The sequence below is a fragment of the Homo sapiens genome, chromosome 2 (assembly GCF_000001405.40).
Source record: "Homo sapiens chromosome 2, GRCh38.p14 Primary Assembly".
Taxonomy (NCBI): domain Eukaryota; kingdom Metazoa; phylum Chordata; class Mammalia; order Primates; family Hominidae; genus Homo; species Homo sapiens.
Window position 1 is genome coordinate 142897916 of NC_000002.12, and position 25894 is coordinate 142923809.

General features: G+C 40.4%; 1 protein-coding gene and 1 pseudogene across 8 annotated transcripts in view, besides 1 other annotated feature; both read left to right on the forward strand.

Moving 5' to 3' along the window:
• The window catches only part of KYNU (kynureninase), a 178170-nt gene that overhangs the window by 20252 nt on the left and 132024 nt on the right, over positions 1–25894 (forward strand). For all 8 annotated transcript variants that reach the window (NM_001199241.2, NM_003937.3, XM_047446250.1 and 5 more), the window contains one exon: positions 20694–20814. In NM_001199241.2, coding sequence (NP_001186170.1) covers positions 20694–20814 — 121 coding nt within the window. The remainder of the gene's footprint in view (positions 1–20693; positions 20815–25894) is intronic.
• Positions 16661–17536: an enhancer, noted in NCBI's record as "OCT4-NANOG hESC enhancer chr2:143672145-143673020 (GRCh37/hg19 assembly coordinates)". NCBI's record gives its function as "activates a minimal SCP1, AML or CMV promoter by ChIP-STARR-seq in primed H9 embryonic stem cells {active_cell/tissue: H9 hESC(primed)}" and the evidence as "EXISTENCE:reporter gene assay evidence [ECO:0000049][PMID:30033119]".
• Positions 17654–19516, forward strand: STIP1P1 (stress induced phosphoprotein 1 pseudogene 1; annotated as a pseudogene).

The window sequence follows — 25894 nt, forward strand, 5'->3', positions numbered from 1 at the left end:
ATTTGAGACAGGATGTCCCTTTGTCATCTAGGCTGGAATGCAGTGGTGCTGTCAGAGCTCACTGCAGCCTCAACTTCCTGGACTCAATCGATCCTCCCACCACAGCATCCTGAGAAGCAGGGACCACAGACATGCACCACCATGTCTGGCTAATTTTTAAAAATTTTTCCCCAGGCTCAGTGTCCAGCTCCTGGGCTCAAGTGATCTGCCCACCTTGGCCTCCCAAGGGGCTGGAATTACAGGCATGAGCCACTGCACACAGCTGAATTCTTTTCAAAACCAGCAAATCATACATTTCTCATAGAAGTTAACTTCCACAGAGATGTTTTATTTTCTTTTTCTTTTTTTTTTTCATACTTCGAGGCCAAAAAATTGTCATCAAGATCCTAGCAATTGCTGCAGCCAATCCCAGGACTTTGCTTCCACAGTAGCTATTGAGCATCAAATGCTCTCTTAGATCATAGACCACAACTTTGATGAGCTTTCATTCTTAGCTATGTCTTAGGATTCTCCTGAAATATGAAGGGTAGGAAGTTGTATTCCCTAGTTCAAGGGAAAAAAAAAATCAATTTAAATTCAATGGTATTAAAAACAATGAATATTTACTTCAAAAAATTATTATAAAGCAAAATATGGTACAAACTAGTTTTTCCTTCTAAACTCAAATACCTAGCTAGTAATATTCCAAAAATAAACATTAATTATATGGAAAGAATTTTTAAATTTTTGCAATGCTGAAATTAATCAGTGGGAATACTGACGCTCTTACCTGTGGGTCTTTGTTCTTAGAGCTCCCAAGATGGGGCGGGCCGCTCCCAAGATGGCAGCAAGCCTTTTGTTCTCTGACCTTGGGTTCTTGGCCTCACAGATTCCAAGAATGGAATCTTGGGCCATGCGGTGAGTGTTATAGCTCTATTAGAAGCTGTGGGTCACGGAAGAAAACCATGGAACCCAGCGACTAGTGTTCAGCTTGATTAGGATGAACCCAGGCACTTAGCTGTGCAGGAACAATGGTGAGCCTTTAGCCCGATCGGGAGCAGAAATGGGCACCTTGCTGGATCAGGAGCACAGCAGACACTCTGCTAGATCCAGAGGGGTGGGAGTCAATGGTGGGTCTGAGATGGTGGCAAACAGCAGTGGTGGACCCGGGTGGGAGTCAATGGCAGGTCTGTAACAGCGGCAAACAGCGGTGGTGGACAGTGAGCAAAAGCTCAGCTCAAGCCGTAACAAACACGGACCAGAAGAGCGTGCAGTTGCAAGATTTAATAGAGTGAAAACAGAGCTCCCATACGATGGGAGGGGACCCAAAGGGGGTTGCCACTCCCTGCTTGAATGCCTGAGTTTATATCCCGATCATTGTCCCCTTGTTGTGCTCTCAGGCGATATATGATTTGACTGTTTCTTTACCTCCTGCTTTTAGCCTAATTTGTGTTTCAGTGAGCCCTCTTTACTACCCGATTGGTCAGGTGTGAGCTGAGTTACCAGCCCTGTGTTTAAAGGTGGGTGCAGTCACCTTCCCCAGCTAGGCTTAGGAATTCTTAGTCAGCCTAGAAAATCCAGCTAGTCCTGTCTCTCAGTCCCCCATCTCAACAGAAAAACCCAAGTGCTGTTGGGGAAGTTGGCCGAACAACGCTCTTAACTGCTTCCTGCTGAATTGGGGCATAGTAGGGGTCGTGCAATTGAGATTTCCTCAGGAGGAGTGCCTTTGATGTCATCAACATAGGAGCATGGGCTAGGAGGCTGTCCAGGGGCCCACAGTAGATCTTAGTCATGCATCTGGGGCTCCATTTGAAGAATGATTTGTAGTTTTATAGCTTTGATTCTGGAAGACACAAACTTAACAAGGAGGTTAAAGATACAGGGATTGAAATGTAGGCCTGAAGTGCAGGGGAATATTTCTTTGGCACACGTCACAGGCCCTGACTATCTGCTTGATAGTTTTGAAAAGGCCTGGTCCAGTAAATAATGATTCGGCCATCTGATGGGTGCTATCAATGCCTAAGTGAAAGTGTTACTGGGGGGTTCTAGCTCCCAGAGCTCCCAAGATGGTGGCAGGCCCCTTCCAAGATAGCGGCAAGCCTCTTGTTCTCTGACCTGGGGTTCTTGGCCTCAAAGGTTCCAAAGAATGGAATCTTGGGCCATGCAGTGAGTGTTATAGCTCTATTAGAAGCCATGGGTCACGGAAGAGAACCGTGGAACCCAGTGACTAGTGTTCAGCTCCATTAGGATGAACCTGGGCACTTAGCCGTGCAGGAACAATGGCAAGCCTTTAGCCTGATCAGGAGTGGCAGCGGGCGCCTCGCTGGATCAGGAGCACAGTGAACACACTGCTGGATCCAGAGAGGTGGAAGTCAGTGGTGGGTCTGCAACGGTGGCAAACAGCAGTGGTGGATAGCAAGCGAAAGCTCAGGTCAAGCCGTAACAAACACGGACCAAAAGAGTGTGCAGTTGCAAGATTTAATAGAGTGAAAACAGAGCTCCCATACAAAGGGAGGGGACCCAAAGAGGGTAGCCATTGCCAGCTCAAATGCCTGGGTTTATATCCTGATCATTATCCCTCCCCCTGTGCTCTCAGGCAATAGATGATTGGCTATTTCTTTACCTCCTGTTTTTGCCTAGTTAGCATTTTAGTGAACTCTCTTTACTACCTGATTGGTCAGATATGAGTTAAGTTGCAAGCCCCATGTTTAAAGATGGATGCGGTCACCTTCCCAGCTAGGCTTAGGAATTCTTAGTCGGCCTAGGAAATCCAGTCAGTCCTGTCTCTCAGTCTCCCTTCTCAACAGGAAAACCCAAGTGCTGTTGAGAGATTGGCCGATGATTGCTCTAACTGCTTCCTGCTGAATTGGGGTGTAGTATGGGCTGTTCAGTTGAGATTTCCTCTGGAGAGGTGCCTTTGATGTTATTAACTTGGAGCATGGGCTAGCAGGCTGGTCCGGGTCTGCAGTAGATTTTAGTCATGGACTGCATCTGGGGCTCCATTTGAAGAACAATTTGTAGTTTTATAGCTTTGATTCTGGAAGAGACAAACTTAACAAGGATGTTAAAGATACAGGGATTGCAGCAGGTGGAGCTTGCAGTGAGCCGAGATTGCACCACTGCAGTCTGGCCTTGGCGAAAGAGCGAGACTCCATCTCAAAAAAAAAAAAAAAAAAGATACAGGGATTGAAATGTATGGCCTGCAGTGCAGGGGGTTATTTTTTTGACACACTTCACAGGCCCTGACTATCTGCTTGTTAGTTTTGAAAAAGCGTGGTCCAGTAAATAATGATTTGGCCATCTGATGGGTGCTATTAATGCCTAAGTGAAAGGTTTGGTGAAGGGTTTTAAGTAATTTCTATTGTTTAGTTGCAGGCAAAAGTATTTTTCCTTTTTCGGTGGCTAGCCATTCTGAGGGGAGGAAACTACGTCCTTGTGAGGTTCCCCGTTCTATTTCTCCTGCTGAGTAGCAGCTTGGGTTCCCAGAGGGGATTACCCCATACTAGGGGTCCTTCTATAAGCATTTTTAATGGAGAGTTCTGCCTTGTGGCTCTTTTAGCTTTAATACCCGCTTGGCAGTTTCCTTCTATTTTTCTTTCCTTTTCTTTCTGATGACCCCGGCAGTGTAAGACTGCCACCTCTTTAGGTTTCTGTACAGCCAATAATAATCTCCTAATGGCTTCCTGATGTTTGATAGGTGTTCCCTCAGAAGTTAGGAATTCCCTTTTTTTCCATATTGCTGTGTGGGCGTAGAGGACTAGGTAAGAATACTTTGAGTCTGTATGTATATTTACCCTTTTCCCTTTTTTTAATTCTAGTGCCCGAGTGAGGGCTATTAGTTCTGCCAGCCGAGAGCTAGTTCCTGGAGTGAGGGGATTACTTTCAAGTATTCCATTATTACTGACCACTGCATACCTCGCTTTTGAAGTCCTTTTTTTACAAAGGAATTTTCATTAATATACAAGTTGAGTTAGGGATTAGTCAAGGGAACCTCTAGAAGGTCCCTCGAGTGGTATAGGTTTGAACAATTACCTGTTGACAGTTATGTTTTATCTTTTTCATTGTTTGGAAGAAATGTGGCGGGGTTAAGAGTTGCGCAAGTATGCAGTTGCAGCACTGGCCCTTTAATTAATAGAGCCTGATATTTAAGCAAACGATTGTCTGACAGCCACAAGTCTCCTTTAGCAGTGAGTATGCTGTTTACATCATGAGATGTCCACACAGTAAGATCTCTTCCCTGTATTATTTTAACTGCTTTACATACTAAGACTGCAACTGCCGCCACTACCCGTAAACAATGATGCCAACCCTTTGCCACTACATTAATTTTCTTACTTAGGTATGCCATGGTTTGCAAGCTGGTCCCTTGAACCTGTGTAAGGACTCCTGGAGCTATTTCTGTTTTTTGTGACATATGAAGAAAAGTCTTGCCCCGTTGGTAAGCTTAACACTGAGTCTTGGGTTAAGGCCTTTTTTTAGGGCCTGGAAAGCTGCTTTTGCTTTAGGAGTCCATTTTACTAAATGGGTATTGGCTTTCTGAGCTTCCTTAATTAGTGTATATAATGGCCTGGCTATTTTGCCGTACCTGGGAATCCATATTTGGCAGAAGCCTGTTATGCCAAGGAACCTTTTATTTGCTTTAGGGTTTTGGGATGAGGATAAGCCAGTATAGGCTGGATACATTTCTTACTGAGGGCCCTGGTGCCTTTGGATAATTTTAGCCCTAAGTATTTAACCTGCTGTAAGCAGAGCTGAGCCTTTGGTTTGGAAACCTTGTAGCCACAAGTGGTGAGGAAGTTTAAAAGCGCTTGGGTGGCTTGATGGCACAAGGTTTTTTCAACAGGCAGCTAGAAGTAGATTATCCATGTACCAAAGGACAAGACTGTTCAGGTATGAGAACTGTCTCAAGTCTTGAGCTAATGCCTGGCCAAATAGATGTGGGCTATCTCTTAACCCTTGGGGTAAAACAGTCCAGGTGAGTTGAGACATTGGGTTTGAAGCATCTTTAAAGGCAAATAAGAATTGAGAATCAGAATGTACAGGGATGCAGAAAAAGGCATCCTTAAGGTCCAGGACTGTAAACCACTCTGCTTCCTCTGGTATTTGGGAAAGCAGAGTAGAAGGGTAAGGTACAGCTGGGTATAGAGGAACAGCAGCCTCACTGATAATCCTGACATCTTGTACTAACCTCCACTGTCTATTGGGCTTCTTTACTCCTAAAATTGGAGGATTGCAGGGGCTATTGCATGGTTTTACTAGGAGTAGGGCTTTTAGGTCCTTAACAATTTTTTGGAGTCCTTGTTGGGCCTCGGGTCTAAGGGGGTACTGCCTTTGGTAGGGAAAGGAGGTGGAATCCTTTAGTTTAACTAGAACACGACGGGCATTATTTGCTCGTCCATATTGTCCTTCTGTTGCCCAGACTTTAGGATTAATTCCTTTTTCAAGCAGGGGACAACAAACGGGTGTTCCTTTTCCTATGTTCAGGTGTATAATGGTCCCTGCTTTTGTTAGAATGTCTTTCCCTAACAAGGGAGTGGGGTTTTTAGGCATAATTAGAAAAGCATGTGAAAAGAGTAAAGTTCCCCAGTCACAGCTTAGTGGCTGGGAGAAGTATCTAGTGGCTGTCCCAGGACCCCTTGGATAGTGACAGATCTGGAGACAGTTGTCCAGGACAGGAGAGTAAGACTGAGAAGGCCACGCCAGTGTCCAGGAGACAGTTAACCTCCTGGCCCTCAATGGTTAAGCATACCCGGGGCTCTGTGAGGGTGATGGCATGGGCTGGCGCTTGCCCCAGGCACCCTCAGTCCTGCTGCTGGATCATCTGGTTAGTGGCTTCTGACTCAGAGGACCTTCGTCCCCTGGGGCAGTGGGCCTTCCAGTGATTCCCTTGACATAAGGGGCATGGACGAGGGGGGTGGCTTATTTCTATTAGAACAATCTTTTTTAAAGTGTCCTTGTAGATCGCACTGGAAGCAAGCCCTATTAGGCATTCAATTTGTCCAGACTTTCCCTGTTCCAGAGCCTCCGAAGTCGTGCTTGCCTGAGGGCCATGACTAAAGTGGTGGCCTTTTCTTTATCCCGTTTATCCTGTTCTGCCTGCTCCTCCTGATCTCTATTATAAAAAACCGAGGTTGCCAAGTTCAATAGGGTTTCTAAGTTTTGCTCTGGGCCTAAGGTGGACTTTTAAAGTTTTTTTCTAATGTCTGCAGCTGACTGAGTGATAAACTTAACCTTTAAGATTAGTTGGCCTTCAACAGAGTCAGGTGACAGAGAGTTTGCTTCCTCAATGCCTCCCTTAGTCTCTACAGAAAGGCAGTAGGATTTTCTTCCTTTCCTTGTGTTATAGTGAACATCACTGAATAATCTATAGGCTTCTTCCTAGTTTTCCTTAGTCCTTTAGCAAGCAAGTTAGCAAATGTCTGTGGCACCAATTCCATGTTCTGATTCTGTGTCCCAATGAGGGTCTACACTGGGAACTGCCTGCTGGCCTGTGGGGAATTGTTCTTTTTCCTCTGTTGTCATCCTATCATTGACCTGACTGAGATACCAGAGATCACCAAACTCTCAGGCTGCAGTTATGGCAGCACTTCTCTCATTTGGGATTAGTGTCTGATCTAGCAGTAACATTATATCTCTCCATGTCAGATCAAAGGATTGTCCTAACCCTTGTAAAGCATCAATATAGCCAACAGGGTTATCTGAGAATTTACCTAGGTCTATTTTAATTTGCTTCAAGTCTGACAGGGAAAAAGGTACATACACTCTGACAAGGCCGAATTCTCCAGAATACATTTTAGGGGTGTTTTTGCCTTGGGGGGAATGTTTTGCCAGCACCCCTAGTCATTTTCTGATGAGCTTAGTTCTACAGTGTTCTCTATGGTCCTTTCCACGGTGTGTAACCACCCATGGACCTCTGCTTATCGGATTAGTTGTGCTCACCAATGTAGCAGTCCTGCACCCCTTTTCCCGCCTTTCTTGACCACAAAGAAAGGGATCCGGGCTGCTGGATTCTAGTGGTCCTTTACCAGCGTGCCCAACATTGCCTTTGTGCTCAGGGGTGAGTCCTAGAGCTGGGCTGAGTTCCTGAGTCTTTCATAACAACCTGGCTGCCCATCAAGATGCATTCCCATAAACAACAGTTCTTATGCAAATTCGTTTCAGAGAGGGTGAAGGTAACCTTTTGAGTCAGGAGTGAGATGGAGTTCTTTGCCCACTAGGGTCTTTGTCCTTCTTTACTTTTGTAGGAATATGCCCTAAATATTGATATTAAGCTTTTTGTTGCCCCAGATTAAGTCCTTTTGGGTACGAAATATGAGAGAGGGATCCTGTTTATCTTATGTGCCTTTTTCCTACGAGGAGAGCAAGGAGAAAAAGATGGGCTTGCTGGTTTTGTAGGTACTTTAAGGCTTGGCTGAGTGCAAACAGCTCACACGTTTGACAGACCAACGATTAGGGAATTCTCCTAACTCTTCTTCCACAAGAGTCTCACTATCAATTAATGAATACCCATTGTGGTTTTTTTCTCAATCACCCGAGAGGAAGCATCTATCCTTGTGTCCCGAAGGGAGTTCCTCCTAGGTCTGGTAGGACCTTTGTATGGTAATTAAGATTTAAATCCCCTGTTAGGAAAGCTGCTAGGTTAAGGGAATTTTCAGTGGTTAGTGTTAAATCACCGTTTTCTAATAGAATAGCCCGATACTTTAAGATTTTTGAGTTAGTAAGCTACCTTTTTGCTTTTTTGACTTAGGATAGCTCTGAACTGGTTATGTGTGCTCACAATAAGGTTTCCTCTAAAGGTTATTTTTCTACTTTCTTCTGTTAGCAAAGCAGTTACCGCTACTGATTGAATGCATTTGGGCCATTTGTGGGTTACTGGGTTAAGAATTTTTGATAGGAAGGCTACAGGTTGTCAGTGGTCTCAGTGTTTCTGGCTATGCCCTTGTTTACACTGACAACAAGGTAGTATTGGAGTATTATAGGGTCACAGAGAAGACCTTCGATTATCAATTATAGGTTTTAAATTTACCCTGGCTTTTAAAGGAATAGGGCACACTGTTTTTCTTTACTACTTCTATCTTTCTATTTCTTTCTCTCTCTCTCATCTCTGTCTCTCTCTCTCTCCTCTCTGTCTCTTTCTCTCCCTTTTCTCTCTCTCTGCCTCTTTCTCTTTCTCTCCTCTCTGTCTCTCTCTCTCTCTCATCTCTGTCTCTCTCTCTGTCTCCTCTCTGTCTCTGTAGATGGATTTTGGAAAACAGCAGAAGGAAGTTCGCTTGTTGACCCCATTTGCCACTATAGGAATATGTGCCTCCCTTTAGTTTACTCAATTTGCTTTCATCCTGATCTATTATGTTGTTGTAGACCCAGTTCCAGAAGTTAAAGTACTAGGTCATCAGTTCTAAGGCCCTGGCCAAGGAGCCAAGGCTTGAAGATTGTATTGAAGATTGCATTGTGGGGTGGTGGGTCGGGGGATGCTGGGTAGAAATTAGGGGAGGAGAGCATCTTAAACAATGAGAGAGGAATCCTAGCCATTTACAAACTCAGGGCCTGGCAAGAGTGGTGGAGAACGGGTCCCACATAACTGCCCATGTCAAAAGTTATATACCTAAATTGGGAGGGGCACCAGGGACAAGATTCCCTGGTTTCATAGCCTAGATGCCTAAGGATGCAGCATAGCGCTTCCTTAGATCCCTTTGGAGATACAACCTACTCTAATACTTGGGAGAGAAAGTGAAAGTCTGAAGCATTAGTATCTAGGAGGCAGGGATTGGAGGAAGTAGATTCAGAGGTAAGGAGAATTTTGGGGCTACACTTTCAAGAAAGTCATGGTTAGGACCCAAGAGGTATGGGTCAGAAGGACAGGTAGGGGCGCACACATGGGCGACTGTTGAGTAGAGACTTCTAGCCTGCACCATGATCTCGACCGGCCAATGCCAGGGGTTCAGGACGACAGCTTTCTGCCTCTAGTTGACCCTTGGCATCCCTAGGAAAATTGTGAAAGTGGAAGCTGGTTCCAGGCAGACCAACTCTCCCAACCCAGAAGTTGTTAGAAAGCCTTTTCCCAGGAAGCCTCACACCTGAGTCTTTAGTCCGGTGGCCATGCTAATCGTTTTTAACCAGCCGACAGGTGCCCGGTATTTTCCTCCAATTCTAAGGTAGAGGACAGAATAGCAAGCAAAAGTGGTCTGATATTACTCACTGCTTTGGAGAATCCCCATACGAGGCCACCAAATGTTACCAGCGGATCTTTGTTCTTAGAGCTCCCAAGATGATGGTGGGCTGCTCCCAAGATGGGGCAGGCCACTCCCAAGATGGCAGCAAGCCTTTTGTTCTCTGACCTGGGCTTCTTGGCCTCACAGATTCCAAGGAATGGAAACTTGGGCCATGTGGTGAGTGTTATAGCTCTATCAGAAGCCGTGGGACATGGAAGAGAACCATGGAAACCACTGACTAGTGTTCAGCTTGATTAGGATGAACCTCGGCACTTGGTTGTGCAGGAACAAAGGTGAGACTTTAGCCCGATCAGGAGTGGAAATGGGTGCCTTGCTGGATCAGGAGCACAACCTGCCAGATCCAGAGGGGTGGGAGTCAATGGCGGGTCTGCAATGGTGGCAAATAGCAGTTGTGGATGGTGAGCGAAAGCTCAGCTCAAGCCGTAACAAATACGGACAAGAAGAGTGTGCAGTTGCAAGATTTAATAGACTGAAAACAGAGCTCCCATACAATGGGAGGGGACCCAAAGGGGGTTGCCACTCCCTGCTCAAATGCCTGGGTTTATATCCTGATCATTGTCCCCCCGTTGTGCTCTCAGGTGATATATGATTTGACTATTTCTTTACCTCCTTCTTTTAGCCTAATTTGTATTTTAGTGAGCCTTCTTTACTACCTGATTGGTCAGGTGTGAGCTGAGTTACCAGCGTTGTGTTTAAAGGTGGGTGTGGTCACCTTCCCCAGCTAGGCTTAGGAATTCTTAGTCAACCTAGGAAATCCAGCTAGTCCTGTCTCTCAATACTTCAAATATTCTTTACACAGACAAGCCATTTAAAAAAAATTAGAGCTTACCTTTGCTTTTCCATCAAAACATATTGTTACTTCTAGGTTTCCTCTTCAATTTGCAAAAGGAAAAGGAAAATATAGGTAATTTCTCAATTAAACTTACACCTGATTTTCAATATGAGTTTGTTTATTGAGTGTTTGTATATGTGTGTGTTTGGCAGTTAGAAGTATGCTGAGATTTTTATTCTTTTAGCCTTTGGGGGAACTGGACTGGCCCTTCACCTCTGTCCTAATGTAGCTTTTTAATTTTATTACAAATGGGAAACAATGTAATTTTCTGTATGTTTCATCTGTGAAAAGTATTGGAAAGTTTTGAGTTCATATGTATTTTATTATTGAATTTTAAAATATTTAAAATGAACTTAATTAAATCTTAAATTACAGTAACCTTATGCTGTAGTAAGTTGAAGGTAAGCTACCTTCTGTGACCTTGAATAATTTAATTAAATTGAGAAGTCTGTTTTTTTTTTATTATTTGTTTTGTTTTTAATGGGTAAATTAAATGCCAGGCCTCTGAAGTGAGTTCATATAAGGAACTGGTTGTGGGATTTTTTTTAAAAAAAATATGCCTATATTAGAGTCCTACACCAAAAAAATTTAGAGTTTTTGACTCAAACCCAGGCACTGGTATTTGTTCAAGCTCCTGATGTGATAGACCAGTATCTAAGTCCTAATAAAATATGAAATGATCAATTTTTTTTTTTTGAGATGGAGTCTTGCTCTGTTGCCCAGGCTTGAGTGCAGTGGCACGATCTTGGCTCACTGCAAGCTCTGCCTCCTAGGTTCACACCATTCTCCTGCCTCAGTCTCCTGAGTAGCTGGGAACACATGCGCCCACCACCACGCCTGGCTAATTTTTTGTATTTTTAGTAGAGACAGGGTTTCACTGTGTTAGCCAGGATGGTCTTGATCTCCTGACCTCGTGATCCACCCACCTCAGCCTCCCAAAGTGCTGGGATTACAGGTGTGAGACACCGTGCCCAGCCAAAATGATCTATTTTCTAATTATATAATTCAAAAAATTGTTTCAGGAATATTATTCTAACCAGTTTTAAAAGTAACATATCAATATATGTATGACATTAACATTAATGGCAGTTTGTCTCTTTCAAACACAGACTATCTGGTACTTGTATCTAACAATGTATTTACAATTGTGATCATATATGGCTAGTGTTGATGCTATTAATAGGATGTTCCAAACATATATCAAGTTTTTTTTTTTGTGGAAGTCATTATGATAGGTAATCCATATTTGTAGAAGATATAAGCCTTTACACAAAGACTTTAACATAATTACAATTCAGATTAAAATTAGCTTTATTGGGATGCCAACAATGAATATATTAAAGGGACATACAGGCATAACTCATTTTACTGCACTTTGCTGTTTGTATTTTTTTTTTAATTTCAACTTATATTTTAGGTTCATGGGATATATGTGCAAGTTTGTTATATGGGTAAACTGTGTGATGCCAAGGTTTTGAGTACAAATGACCCTGTTACCCAAGTAGTGAACATTGTACCCAATAGGTAGTATAGTTCCTCCCTTTATAGCTATATGTACCAAATGTTAGCTCCCACTTAAAAATGAGAACATATAGTATGCAGTTCTCTGATCATGCATTAATTCATTTAAGATAATGGCCTCTGGCTGCATCCATGTTGTTGAAAATGACATGATTGCATTCTTTCTATGGCTATGTAGTATTTCTTGGTGTATTTGTACCACATGTTCTTTATCCAATCCACCATTGAAAGGCATCTAGAATAATTTCATACCTTTGCTTTTATGAATAGTTCTGCAATGAATCTACAAATGCTTGTGTTTTCCTAGTAGAACAATGTATTTTTCTTTAGGTATATACTTGGTAATGGGGTTGCTGGGTCAAATAGTAGTTCTATTTTAAATTCTTTGAGAAATCTCCACACTGCTTTCCACAGTGGCTGAACTAATTTACATTCCCACCAATGATGTATAAGTGTTTTATTTCTTTGCAACCTTGTCACCATCTGTTATTTTTTGATGTTTTAGTAATAGCCATTCTGACTGGTGTGAGATGGTATCTCATTGCAGTTTTGATTTGCATTTCACTAACAATTATTGATGTTGAGCATTTTTTCATATATTTGTTGGCTGTATGTATGTCTTCTTTCAAGAAGTGTCTATTCATGTTCTTTGCCTTTTTTTTTTTTTTTTTTTCTTTGAGACAGAGTCTTGCTCTGTCCCCCAGGCTGGAGTGCAGTGGTGTGATCTCGGCTCATTGCAATCTCCACCTCCCAGGTTCAAGCGATTCTCTTGCCTCAGCCTCCCAAGTATCTGGGACTACAGGCCTCTGCCACCAAACCTGGCTAATTTTTTGTATTTTTAGTAGAGACGGGGTTTCACTGTGTTTGCCAGGATGGTCTCAATCTCCTGACCTCGTGATCTGCCCGCCTCTGCCTCTATTCTTTGCCCATTTTTTAATGGGGTTATTTGTTTCTCGCTTGTCGAATTGCTTAAATTCCTTATAGAGTCTGGATATTAAATATTTGCAAGGAATAGTTTGTGAATATCTTCTCCCATTCTGTAGGTTGTCTATTTACTCTGCTGATAGTTTCTTTTGCTGTGCAGAAGCTCTTTAGTTTAATTAGGTCCCACTTGTCAGTTTGGGGGGTTTTTGCAATTGTTATTGAGGACTCAGTCACAAATCCTTTGTCAAAGCCACTGTCCAGGATGATATTTCCTAGGTTTTCTTCTAGGAATTTTATAATTTTAGGTCTTACATTTTAGTCTTATCCATCTTGAGTCAATAATTGTATTTGGTGAAAGGTAGGGGTCCAGTTCCATTCTTCTGCATATTTCTGGCTGGTTATCCCAGCACCACCTATTGAATAAGAGTTCTTACCCCATTGCTTGTTTTTGTCAACTTTGTTAAAGATTAGACTGTTGTAGATATGTGGCTTTATTCTGGGTTCTCTAACCTGTTCTATTGGTCTATGTATATGTTTTGGTCCCAGTACCATGGTGTTTTGGTTATTGTAGCCTTGTAGTTTGAAGTCAGGTAATGATGCCATCAGCCTTGTTCTTTTTGCTTGGGATTGCTTTGGCTATTCAGGCTCTTTATTGGTCACATACGAATTTTAGAATAGATTTTTCTATTTCTGTGAGAAATGACATAGGTAGTTTGATAGGAATAGCTTTGAATCTATAAATTGCTTTGAGCAATATGGTGGTTTTCATGATATTGATTCTTCCAATCCATGAGTATGGAATGTTTTTCTATTTGTGTCATCTATAATTTTTCTTTGAGCAGTACTTTGGAGTTCTCCTTGTAGAGAGCTTTCACCTCCTTGGTTAGATGTATTTCTTAGTGTTTTACTGTTTTTTCGCTGTTGCAAATGGGATTGTATTATTGATTTGGCTCTCAGCTTAAACATTCTTGGCATATAGAAATGCTCCTGATTTTTTAATGTTGATTTTATATTCTGAAACTTTACTGAAATTGTGTAGCAGTTCTAGGAGAATTTTGGTGGAGTCTTTAGGGTTTTCTAGGTATAGAATCTTATCATTAGTAAAGATAGATAATTTTTTTTCTATTTAGATTCCTTTTCTTTCTTTCTCTTGACTGACTGCCCTGGCTAAGATTTCCGGTACTATATTGAGTAGGAGTGGGAGATATCTTTGATTTGTTCCAGTTCTTAAGGAGAATACCTCCAGCTTTTATTCATTCAGTATGATGTTCGCTGTGAGTTTGCCATAGATCGCTCTTATTGTTTTGCGGTATGTTCCTTTGATGCCTAGTTTGTTGAGGGTTTTTATCATGAAGGGATATTGGATTTTACTGAAAGCTTTTTCTACATCTATTGACATGATCATATGGTTTTTGTTCTCAATTATCTTTACATCCTGAATCACATTTATGGATTTACATGTGTTGAATCAATTCTGCATCCCAGGAATAAAACCTACTTGAATGTGGTGAAATAACTTTTTCATGTGCTTCTGGATTTGGTTTGCTAGTATTTTGTTGATGATTTTTGCTTCAATGGGGATATTGACCCGTAATTTTGTTGTTGTTGTTGTTGTTGTTATTTCTTTGGCAGATTTTGGTATCGAGTGATACTGGCTTCCTAGAATGAGTCGGGGAGGAGTCACCCCCTCCTTAATTTTTTGGGATAGTTTCAGCAGTGTTGGTACCAGCTCTTCTTTGTAAGTCTGATAGAATTTGGCTATGAATTCATCTGGCACAGGACTTTTTTTGGTTGGTAAGATTTTATGACTGATTCAAGTTGAAACTCTATTGGAATGTTCAGGGTCTTAGTTTCTACCTGGTTTAGTCTTGGGAGGTTGTATCTTTCCAGGAATTTATCTATTTCCTTCAGATTGTCTAGTTTTCATGGATAAAGTGTTCATAAGAGTCTCTAAGGATCTTTTGTATTTCTTTTTTTTTTTTTTTTTTTTTTTTTGAGATGGAGTTTCACTCGTGTTGCCCAGGCTGGAGTGCAATGGTGCGATCTCGGCTCACCACAACCTCTGCATCCCAGGTTCAAGCGATTCTCTTGCCTCAGCCTCCCAAGTAGCTGGGATTACAGGCATGTGCCACCGCACCCAGCTAATTTTGTATTTTTAGTAGAGATGGAGTTTCTCCATGTTGGTCAGGCTGGTCTCGAACTCCCAACCTCAGGTGATCCGCCCACCTCGGCCTCCCAAAGTGCTGGGATTACAGGCATGAGCCACAGCACCCAGCTGGGATCTTTTGTATTTCTTTCTTCCTTTTTTTTTTTTTTTTTTTTTTTTGAGATGGAGTCTTGCTCTGTCACCCAGGCTGGAGTGCAGTGGCACGATCTCGGCTCATTGCAAGCTCTGCCTCCCGGGTTCACGCCATTCACCTACTTCAGCCTCCAAATTAGCTGGGACTACAGGTGCCCGCCACTGCACCTGGCTAATTTTTTTTTGTATTTTTAGTAGAGACAGGGTTTCACCATGTTAGCCAGGATCATCTCCATCTCCTGACCTCGTGATCCATCCACCTCAGCTCCCAAAGTGCTGGGATTACAGGCTGGAGCCACCGCTCCCGGCTGGATCTTTTGTATTTCTGCAGGATTAGTTGTAATGTCATCTTTGTTGTTTCTGACTGTGCATATTTGAATCCTCTGTTTTTTTCTTTTTAATCTAGATAGTAGTCTGCTGATTTTGTTTATCCTTTTAAAGAAACAGCTTTTGGTTTCATTGATCCTTTTTATGAATATTTAGGAGTTGATTTCGTTTTCTCCTTTGATTTCAGTTATTTATTCTACTAGCATTGGGGTTAGTTTGTTCTTGCTTTTCTAGTTCCTCTTGGTGTGTTACTAAATTGGGAATTGCAGATCATTCTAACTTACTGATGTAGGTGCTTAGCACTATAAGTTTTCCTCATAATACTGTGTTTGCTGCATCTCAGAGATTTTGGCATGTTGGTTGTGTCTCTGTTTTCATTTATTTCAAATTTTTTTTTGATATCTGCCTTAATTTTATTGTTTACCCCAAAGTCATTCAGGAGTAAGTTGCTTAATTTCTATGTAATAGTGTACTTCTGAGAGATCTTCTTGGTATTGATTTCTACTTTTATTCCACTGTGGTCTGAAAGTATGGCTGGTATGATTTCAATTTTTTGAATTTATTGAGACTTGCTTTATCTCCAAGCATATGGTCAATCATAGAGTATGTTCTGTTCACAGACGAGAAGAATGTATAATCTGTGGTTGATGGGTGGAATGTTTTGTAGATGTCTATTAGGTCCCATTGGCTAAGTGTTGAATTGAAGTCTAAAATGTCTTTGTTAGTTTTCTGACTTGATGATCTGTCTAATGCTCTCTTTGGGGTGTTGAAATCCCTACTAGTATTGTTAACCATCTAAGTCTTTTCATAGGTCTAGAAGTACTTGTTTTATGAATCTGGGTGCTCCAGTGTTTGCTATGTATATATTTAGGATAGTTTAGTATTCTTGTTGCATTGAACATTTTATCATTATGTATTGCCCTTCTTTGACCTGTTTTATTGCTATTGGCTTAGGCAGTCTGGCCACTCCTTGGCACCATTACAGTAGCTTCTACTGGGGCTATGGCAGCTGATGCCTAGCTGCTCAGGGATCCAAGGCCTGTGCGGCTCCACTGGGCTTAAGTGGTACCCCTGCAAAGATTCCAGGCTGGTCTCTGTGTTGATTTGGAGTTCCACTGAGGTCAAGGGCTTCTCCCATGCCCAGGATTGCAAAGGTCCATGGCAGATGTTTGGATCCCCTGGGAACTCTCACTCATCAACCCTTTCCTGACTTAGGGAACTTTCCCCAGGTCTGTACTGGTCCCAGGTGGGCAAGTCCTTGGCTTTGCTCCTCTCTTCTCTGTGAGTCCTCTTGCTTTCTTGTTGAATCCCAACATGACATCTTAGATGATCTACTTGAAGTCGTAGCATTTACTCACCACTTTGTTTTCTCTCCATGAGAGCAGCATATACTAGCTACTTCTAGTCAGCCATCTTGAGCACCTCACCTGTTTTCCAGATTGGAAAACTGCCCATATCTGGGGAGCTCTGCATTTTTCTTTAGAGTGCTTCACAGATACTGCATTTTTTACAAATTAAAAGTTAGTGGCAACTCCAATTCCAGCAAGTCTATAGGCATCATTTTTCCAAGAACATGTGCTCACTTTGTGTTTCTGTGGCACATATTGGCAATTCTCACAATATTTCAAACTTTTTCATTATTATATCTGTAATAGTAATCTGTGATCAGTTCTCTTTGATGTTATTATTGTCATTATCTTGGGGCAACATGAGCTATGTCCGTATAAGATGGTGAACTTTATCAATAAATGTTGTGTGTGTTCTGACTGTGCTAGAGACCAGTTGTGGGGATATGTGAGGGCAGCCATGTTGCCAGGCACATGTGGGGACAAGAGGAAGACAAGGGAAATCACCATGTTTGGTGGACCCAGTTTCTAATGGCCTTTATTTGCATATTAAAGCTTGCCTGCAGGCTCTAAGAGCCGGGGCTTTCCTGTTAGACAAGAAACATTTCTGGAGCTGCTTTAAAAGAAACAAAAACTTCCCAAGGACGCCTTTTCATCTCTATCTGCCTAAAATAATTTCTTAATAACTCCTATAACAAAAATATACTGCAAAAGGGTCATACCTGAGAAGTCTGCTTGTTGAGTTGTGGTAATTTTTGCATAAATATTCTAGAAATATATTGTATGAGGTGGGAAGTGGTGGTAGTGAGCAGATCGTGAGACATCAGCTTAAGTATTCATTAACTACTTCAGGAAACTGGAGATTGGAGGTCTCCAGTGGGAAGGAGATTTTCATGAACTCAGAAAAAATACTTCATAAGGGAAAGAGCTAACCAAAAAGCACCAAAGCTGGACTAAGATTTTCTTGCCTTTCTTTTTCCACTCCATTGGAGGAATAAGAAGCAGCAGCAGTGAGGAACAAGAAAATAAATTGTTAATAGACACATTCCTTTGTTCCAAACTGCAGTTTCCTGAACTTAAGTCAAGCATGAGCTAGGGCTGGGGAGAAGATTTAAATCTGAAGTGATGTTGATATTTTGAAACTAGTTCCTAGGTTAAGCTTCATATAAACTAAAAGAGTAAGCTCATAAGGTCCACAGTGGTGGACATTTTTGATGCACTAAAATGCTCCTCAAGCAATAAAGTGAGTTTTCAGAACCATGAGCTTTATAGCAATCATACTGTAGCCTTTTCAAAGAAAGGAGCATTCCAGAAGAATGGCTCTAACACTGTTGACTTAAGGACTAACTGGAGCAAGCCCTGCTTGTTAAAAGCTGAAAATCTTGAGCTCGTAAACAAGTTTGAAGTCAAGTGAACTTTTAAGCAGAGTGCTATGGGTTGAATTATGTTCCCTAAAAATTCATGTGTTGACAGCCTAACCACCTGTTCCTAATACTGTCCTTACAGAAATAATCAAGTTAAAATGAGATATTAGAGTGGGCCCTAATTCAATATGTTGTGATGTTCTTATAAAAGGGGGAAATCGGGAAACACACAGGCATACTGGGAGAAGGCCAAACACACAAGAGATGGCCATCTGTAAGCCAAGCAGAGAGGCCTAGAACATATTCTTCCATCACAGTGCTTGAAAGTAATCAACCTTGTCAACACTTGATTTTGGACTCAGAGCCTGCAAAATTGTAAGACAATAAATTTATGTTTAAGCTACCCAGAAGCTTTAGTTCTAGAAGCCCTAGTAAACTAGGGGGGCTTGTTACATGAAGCAAGTATTCCCAGCTCAAGGAGGATTTACTGAATGTGGAGACTTGGCTGATAGGGGGAACTGATGAACTCTTTTAACATGCCCAATCTGTGCCAGAATTTGAAGTGTGACCCTAAGACAAGGCTCAAAAATCTCTGCCTTCTTTTTGGAATAAAGTTTTTAGGATCACTGCCACATTTATTTTTTAATTATCTATGGCTTTTTTAATCCTATCATAACAAAAAAGAGGAATTGCAGCAGAGACTGTATGGCTTGGAAAGCCTGAAATATTTACTTTCTGGCTTTTTACAGAAAAAGTTTGCCTTGCCTTGCTTAAAACAAGGGTACTGGTTACAGATCCTGCCTGCTGGGTATTAACAGAACAAATGCAGCAAATGATGCTGATCTGAACATGAACCCACAGGATCCCCAGATCATGACACCTCTCAGTGTTTACTCAGAGTAGATCTGGACAGTATGGATTAAGAGGAAGAAATTGAGACACCTTACCCCCCTTTTCCTCCCTCTAATAAGATCAGGCTAAATTCAATGCAGGAAGACTTTCCAGGGAATAAGAAGCAAAGGCACTAAAAGAAAGAGTTGGAAAACAATACCTACAAGAAGAGTGAACTGCGGTCTTGAAGCATTGTGACTTAACCAAAATTTTGGGATTTACTAACAGGACATGTGTTAATCAAGCAGTTCACTTTGAAAAGGAAAGTTCTAGTAAGCTCCACGGCCTTTGTGAAAAGGCCATTGAAGTGAGAGAGAAAACCAAGAGGACCATTGAGAAACTGCAAAAAATGTATGCCCTAATTGGCAATACCTACTTTAAAGAAAAATGTAATAATATCACAATCTCTACAATAAATGTTTTAGCATAGCACTAAACCCACAATATGCTAAAAAAGTTGTCAGTAGAGGAGACAGAAAATAATCCTAAAGAACAGGATTGACTGGTGTACATTAATCCTGACTTGCCTTTGGGAAAAAAAGGTAAATACAATAAATGCTTCAGAAAGGGGACCCTCTCCCACTTCATAAGCATTAAATACTAAACAAGATGTGCAACAGAATCCACACGACATTGAGTTGTGCAAGAGTCAGCAGTTGGCACTGAAGGACTGGGAACTATGGATGAACCCAGAGCTCCCATATTCTCAAGGGTTGTGTAGAGAAAGCACAGGAGCCATGAAAACTGTGGATATAATCCCAAAGGCACTAAACTTGGACTCAAGCTATAAGGAGATTATCAGTAATGTCCAAACCATTGATGTGATAACCTTTTATTAAAAAAAAAAAAATTAAATAGAGATGGAGTCTCACTATGTTGCCCATGCTTGTCTTGAACTCCTGGGCTCAAGTGATCCTCCCAATTTTGCCTCCAAAAGTGCCGGGATTACAGGCATGGGCCACTGTGCCTGGCTGACATGATAACCTTGAGGATGGGAAATGGGGAGGCATATCTAATCCTAGATCCAGGAAATAATGGATACCTTAACCAAGAGGAATCTTCTGGCACACATGTGTAAACAATATATACATATATTTTATTGGTCAGGCTTAAAAGATGCCAATGAAAAACAATATCTATAAAAGGGATCAGGTTGAAATAGATGGTATGTCTTTAAAAAGTCTTTAAAGGTTTAATTAAGTAGTCTGAAGTAAAGACCAACATAGTACTTAATGATTCCAGTGAAATATAAACAAGAAGCTTAGTCTTTTTTTCCCTAAGATATAAGAGAAAACTCAGTAGTTTACAAATGTGATTGTAAACTTGTGACTTTCTGGACTACGTCTTAAGCACATGGATTGGTTTGTTTGCAGTGGGTTAACTGTAGGATAAAAATCATCAAAGTTTGATTTATATGAATAAGAAGTAGATGTAGAAAACAATCTTTGCCTATACATGTGTTAGTACTATGTGTACGTGTGTATGGATATAGAATGAAAAAAACCGCATAAATCCAGTACATCTACTTAAGTTATGTAAATAATTATTTGCATTTTTTAAAAAAATTGCCATGTCTACAACACAAATTAGTACCGTGTTAGTACTTGACTAAATTCTGGTAATCTTCTTATACAATTAGATAGGCTGATGTATTTCCTAATTAAAAACATTTGTTTTTAACTCTTTTCTAATGCTTTGGCAATTCATGATTGGAAGTACTTGCTAATTTAGATTTCCTCATGGAGCACAGTAAATATGAGAGATCCTCATAATAGCCTCTATAGGTTTAAATTATATTTTAAATGTAAATGCAAAACTTAATTATTTTTTAGAGGACCTGATGTCATCCTTGGGAGTAATTTTTAATTACTTTTTATCCTTCTTAGAGTTGATTGTATTAATTATTTGTACTGGCTTAACAATACCATACTGAAAAAGCTTTTATTTTTTTTTTTTTTTTTGACATTTCTTCTGTTTCAGTTGATTTATCATTAGTGAATAAAGATGAAAATGCCATCTATTTCTTGGGAAATTCTCTTGGCCTTCAACCAAAAATGGTTAAAACATATCTTGAAGAAGAACTAGATAAGTGGGCCAAAATGTAAGTATTATTTTAAAAGCTACTACTCTACATCTCATACAAAAATTTACAAAATCACATTAGGTTGTCTAATATTTGGAAAGATGTGTAATAGAATCCTAGTACAGTCATCCCTTGGCATCTGTGGAGGATTAGTTCCAGGGCCTCCCTATCATTCCAAAATCCACAATGGTCAAGTCCCTTATATACAAATGGCATCATATTTCCAAAGAACCTAGGCCTATGCCATATACTTTAAATAATCTCTAGATTACTTATAATACCTAACACAGTATAAATGTCATGTAAATAGCTGTTATACTGTATTGTTTAGGGAATAGTGACGAGAAAAAAAGTCTGTACATGTTTAGTATATATGCAGCCATCCATTTTTTTCCCCAAATATTTTTGATCCGCAGTTGGTTGAATCCATAGAGAGGGAATCCATGGATACAGAGAAACTTTAGCTGCTCAGTAGTCTCATTTGATTGATGAAATAACTGAGGATCAGAATAAGGTGACATAGCAAGCTAGTGGCAGAATCAGGACTAAAAACTTTTACAATATTTAAACGTTTAAGTTCCTCTCATGTGTTGACATCTCTAAACCACATGTAATCATTTTATTTTATTTCTTTAGTAACTAACAGAGGAGTTAATATTCTGAAGCTTAATTTCTTCATGATTAGGCTAAATTATCAACACTTACTTTTATGATAACCAGAAATATTTTCTAATTATTTGAAACTGAAAAATCAATATGAAGATGAGCCAAACTTGACAGTTAGGAAAACGTTTCAGAAAGATGAAACCAAACCAAATAGAATTTCAGAGGAAAAACATTTGGCTGTCATAGAAACTCAGAATACATTCTTTACCTTTCTTCATTCTTCATGCTACTGGTTTTCAAATTGGGAACAATATCCATTCTTTAAAGTTTAGTAGGCCAGTCACAATGGCTCATGCCTGTAATTGCAGCACTTTGGGAGGCAGAGGTGGGCAGATCACTTGAGGCCAAGAGTTTGAGACCAGCCTGGCCAACGTGGCGAAACCTCACCTCTACTAAAAAAATACAAAAATTAGGCCGGGAATGGTGGCTCACGCCTGTAATCCCAGCACTTTGGGAAGCTGACATGGATGGATCTCCTAAGCTCAGGAGTTCGAGACCAGTCTGACCAACATGGTGAAACCTCGTCTCTACTAAAAATATAAAAATTAGCCTGGCATGGTGGCAAGTGCCTGTAATCTCAGCTATTCAGGAGGCTAAGGCAAGAGAATTGCTTGAACCCGGGAGGCAGAGGTTGCAGTGAGTGGAGATCACCACTGTACTCCATCCTGGGCGACTCTGCTTCAATAAAATAAATAAATAAATAATGTTTAGCTTACACTGTGCAAATGATTACAACTATGGCTATTAGATAACACTGTGAAGTTCTTAATTTTAGTGATTAAGAACGTAATTTCACAACTTGATGTAAGAATGATAGTTTATATAATTTATTAATCATGTTATAACTTTATCTGCATAACTTTTATGCATAATTTGCAAAATACATACCACCACATTTGCTCTAGCAAGTTTTAGTATTTAATGAATGGGGGTCATAGTTAATAAAAATGGTTAATATTCATTTTTGGCCTTAATGTAAGAGAGGGCAGATAATTAGATTGAATGAATTTGAACTTTATAGAGTGTCCTTGCCTCTTGGATATTCATTCAGCAAGGTTGTGAATTTTTATCCCCTAAGCATTTAAAATATATTCTGCCCTGCTATTCTATTCATATCCTTATGGTCATCCACTTAAGTAAGAAACCGGTTGATTATTTTCAAGACTTTAAAGTTGCATTTCAGGAAAGCACCTCATGCTCTTCTATTGTTTTGTCTTTTATATTTCACCTTGTGATGATGGAAAATTTCATCATTTTAATTAAACCTTCTTACTGAGTTTTCATTAGACAGATGATTCAGAAAGGCTGTATATTTTAATGCTTCAGGCAATGTACAGTGAATTAAAGAAGACTTCTAAGCAAATGGACATCTATTCCATCCTCGCTTTGTTTATTTTAGTCTTCTTGTTTTAAGCTGTAGTGACTCAGTCAACATCATGGACCCGCCCATAAATGTCTGTGGTGTTTGGGATGCCTGATCACCTGCCTCTTTTTCCTACCTCACCCATCGTTTTTGATCCCAAAAGTGTTTGCTCATTATTATTTTTTACCTCCCAAATATTTAGCTTAAAATCCCACTTCTGATGTTTTCCAGCTGAAGTTCTGTTGGGAGGAAACTTTTTCTCTACCAAATGAGTACTTAGGTCAAAGTGATTGAGGGCCTGCCAATTAATTGACAACAGACAGGTTAACAGGAGAAAAGTTTATTTCACACTCAGATACAAGAATTCTACAAGGGGTAGTTTGATGAACAGCCATGGGTAAGGGTTTATATACCAGCTTGACTAAAGGGAAGAGTTTTAGAGCTTCAGTGGGAAAATATGAAAGTTTCTATTGGGTTTTTTCATCATGATGCTAATGGGCAGTATCCTTCCTAGCTGGAAGCTCCCAAGAGGGAGATGAATGGCAGCTGAATTTGTACCTCCAGGTGCTAAGGTCCATCTACCTCTGAGGATGGGTCAGTAGCAGCTGTATTTTTAGGAGGCTTTGCTTAAGTTTAGATAAATTTCTTTCTGTGGCTGCTCTTTGTTCAGATGTGTTCAAAGTAGTCAGACCAGGCATAGTGGCTCATGGCTGTATTCCCAGCACTTTGGGAGGCCAATGTGGGTCACTTTAGCCCAGGAATTAAAACCAGCCTGAGCAACAAAGAGATGGATGCAGTGGCTACCATCTGTAATCCCAGCACTTTGGGAGGCTGAGGCAAGCGGACCACAAAAGCCCAGTAGTTCCAGACCAACCTGGGCAACATTGTGAGATCTCAACTCTACAAAAAAATACAAAAATTAGCTGGGCATGGTGGTGCATGCCTGTAGTCCAAGCCACTTGAGAGGCTGAGGTGAGAGGATCATTTGCACCCAGAAGGTCAAGGCTGCAGTAAGCTGTGATTGTGCCACTGTACTCCAGCCTGGGCTACAGCAAGACCATGTCTTTAAATACATACATACATACATACATACATACATACATACATACATACATACATGTAGTCTTCATGCCACTTCAGTGGTCTGTTGGTCTCTTCAGTTTTCATTCTCACTGTTGCCTTGTTTTTTTGTACTAAAATCAAACCCTGCATGTGTTCAGTTGCCTCTACATCCAGGGCCTCCCATTATTGTGGTAAATTTTATCTGATCACTTCTTCCTCTTTGCCTCCCTCTATGCCACTTCTGCTCTACTTCTTGGTTGATACTCAAGCCAGGTCAGTGACTCCCTTTCTTCTTGACCAATGGAAGATTATGGGAATCACTGAGTCAAAGAGGATTACACACTTATTAAATACTACAATGCACATTGAAAGTAGTTGCTTAGTTGAAAAAGATAATGTTAAAAATGTATAATCTTGACCAGGCGTGGTGGTTCAAGGCTGTAACCCCAGGACTTTGGGAGGCCAAGGCAGGCAGATCACTTGAGTTCAGGAGTTTGAGACCAGCTTGGGCAACATGGTAAAACCCTGTCTCTACAAAATATACAAAAGAAATTTAGCTGGATGTAGTGGCACATGCCTGTAGTCCCAGCTATTCGTGAGGTTGAGGTGGGAGGATCGCTTGAGCCTGGAATGTGGGGGTTTGCAGTGAGCTGAGATTGTGACACTGCACTCCAGCCTGGGCAGCAGAGTCAGACCCAGTCTCAAAAAAAATTATAATCTTAACAGTAACATAAAAATTAGAGTGCTTCAACAAAGCAAGATTTTACACAGGCATATAGATGTCAAATCTCTGTCTATCCAAGTATTGTAAAGTAGGAAATGCCATTTGGCTCACGGATTCCATCTTCTCCAGTTTTATGGCCTATTGCAGACATATTGCCTACCACACCTAAGTATTGAATAAATGATTTTTTGTCATAATGCAGCCTGATTTTGTAATTCATAAGGCTACCATCTTTGATTTCTTATACTAAGGAAAAGCCAAGAATAGAGGTACAACTAGAAATATTTTAGGATCTGTCTTGGTTTGTTCCCGCTGCTATACAAAATACCTGAGTCTGGATAATTTATAGAGAAGAGAAATGAATATTCTTACAATTCTGGAGGCTGGGAAGTCCAAGATCAAGGTGCTGGCTGACTTAGTGTCTGGTAAGGTCTGCTCTCTGCTTCCAAGATGGTGCTTCTTGCTGTAACCTCATGTGGCAGAAGAGGCAAACACCTGCCTCCCACCTGTTTTACAAGGGTACTAATCCCATTCATGAGGGCTCTGCCCTTATGACTGAATCACCTCCTAAAGACTCTACCTCTTAATACTGTCACATTGGCAGATCAAATTTTAACATAAGAATTTGAAGGGGACACATTCAGATGATAGTAGAACCAAATGATTTCTAAAACTTACACTTATTTAAGGAAAACTGTGAAAATAGTTTTCTTAGAATCTTTTACCTCTGTGTTAGTTTTAAAATTCTATTACCATTAATTTGCATTTTCATTTTCAACTCTATGGGATTTCTAAAGTAGATTAATAACACATTGAAGAATATATTTGTTTTGCAAAATGGCAATATTTAGGCAATTCCAGTATTCTGAAATATAAAACTTTTTGGGTGATTATATTTATTTGATACTTAATAATTATAAGTAAAAAGGTTTTGTAACAAGAAGAAGCAACAATATGCCTGAAGCCTATGGGTCTGTTGGAATGAGTAGGCAATAGGCATGAAGTATTTGGGAATAATAGTTTATATTAAATATTTACTAATGACCTGGATTATTTAATGAAGAATAACATTGGTTAATAATCATAATGCCACAATTCAGCTAGAACAGAAGGATATATCAGTCCTAAAGAGCATATTGTAAGCTGGGAGATGGGTATTATGTTCCTAAAATAGAATCACAATATTTTAGGTCATTTACATTGTCAAATCTGCTACATAAAGGGTGTTCTCTCTTTTTCATAAGAGCAAAAACCTACTACAGTTTTGTCTCTACAGGGATTCT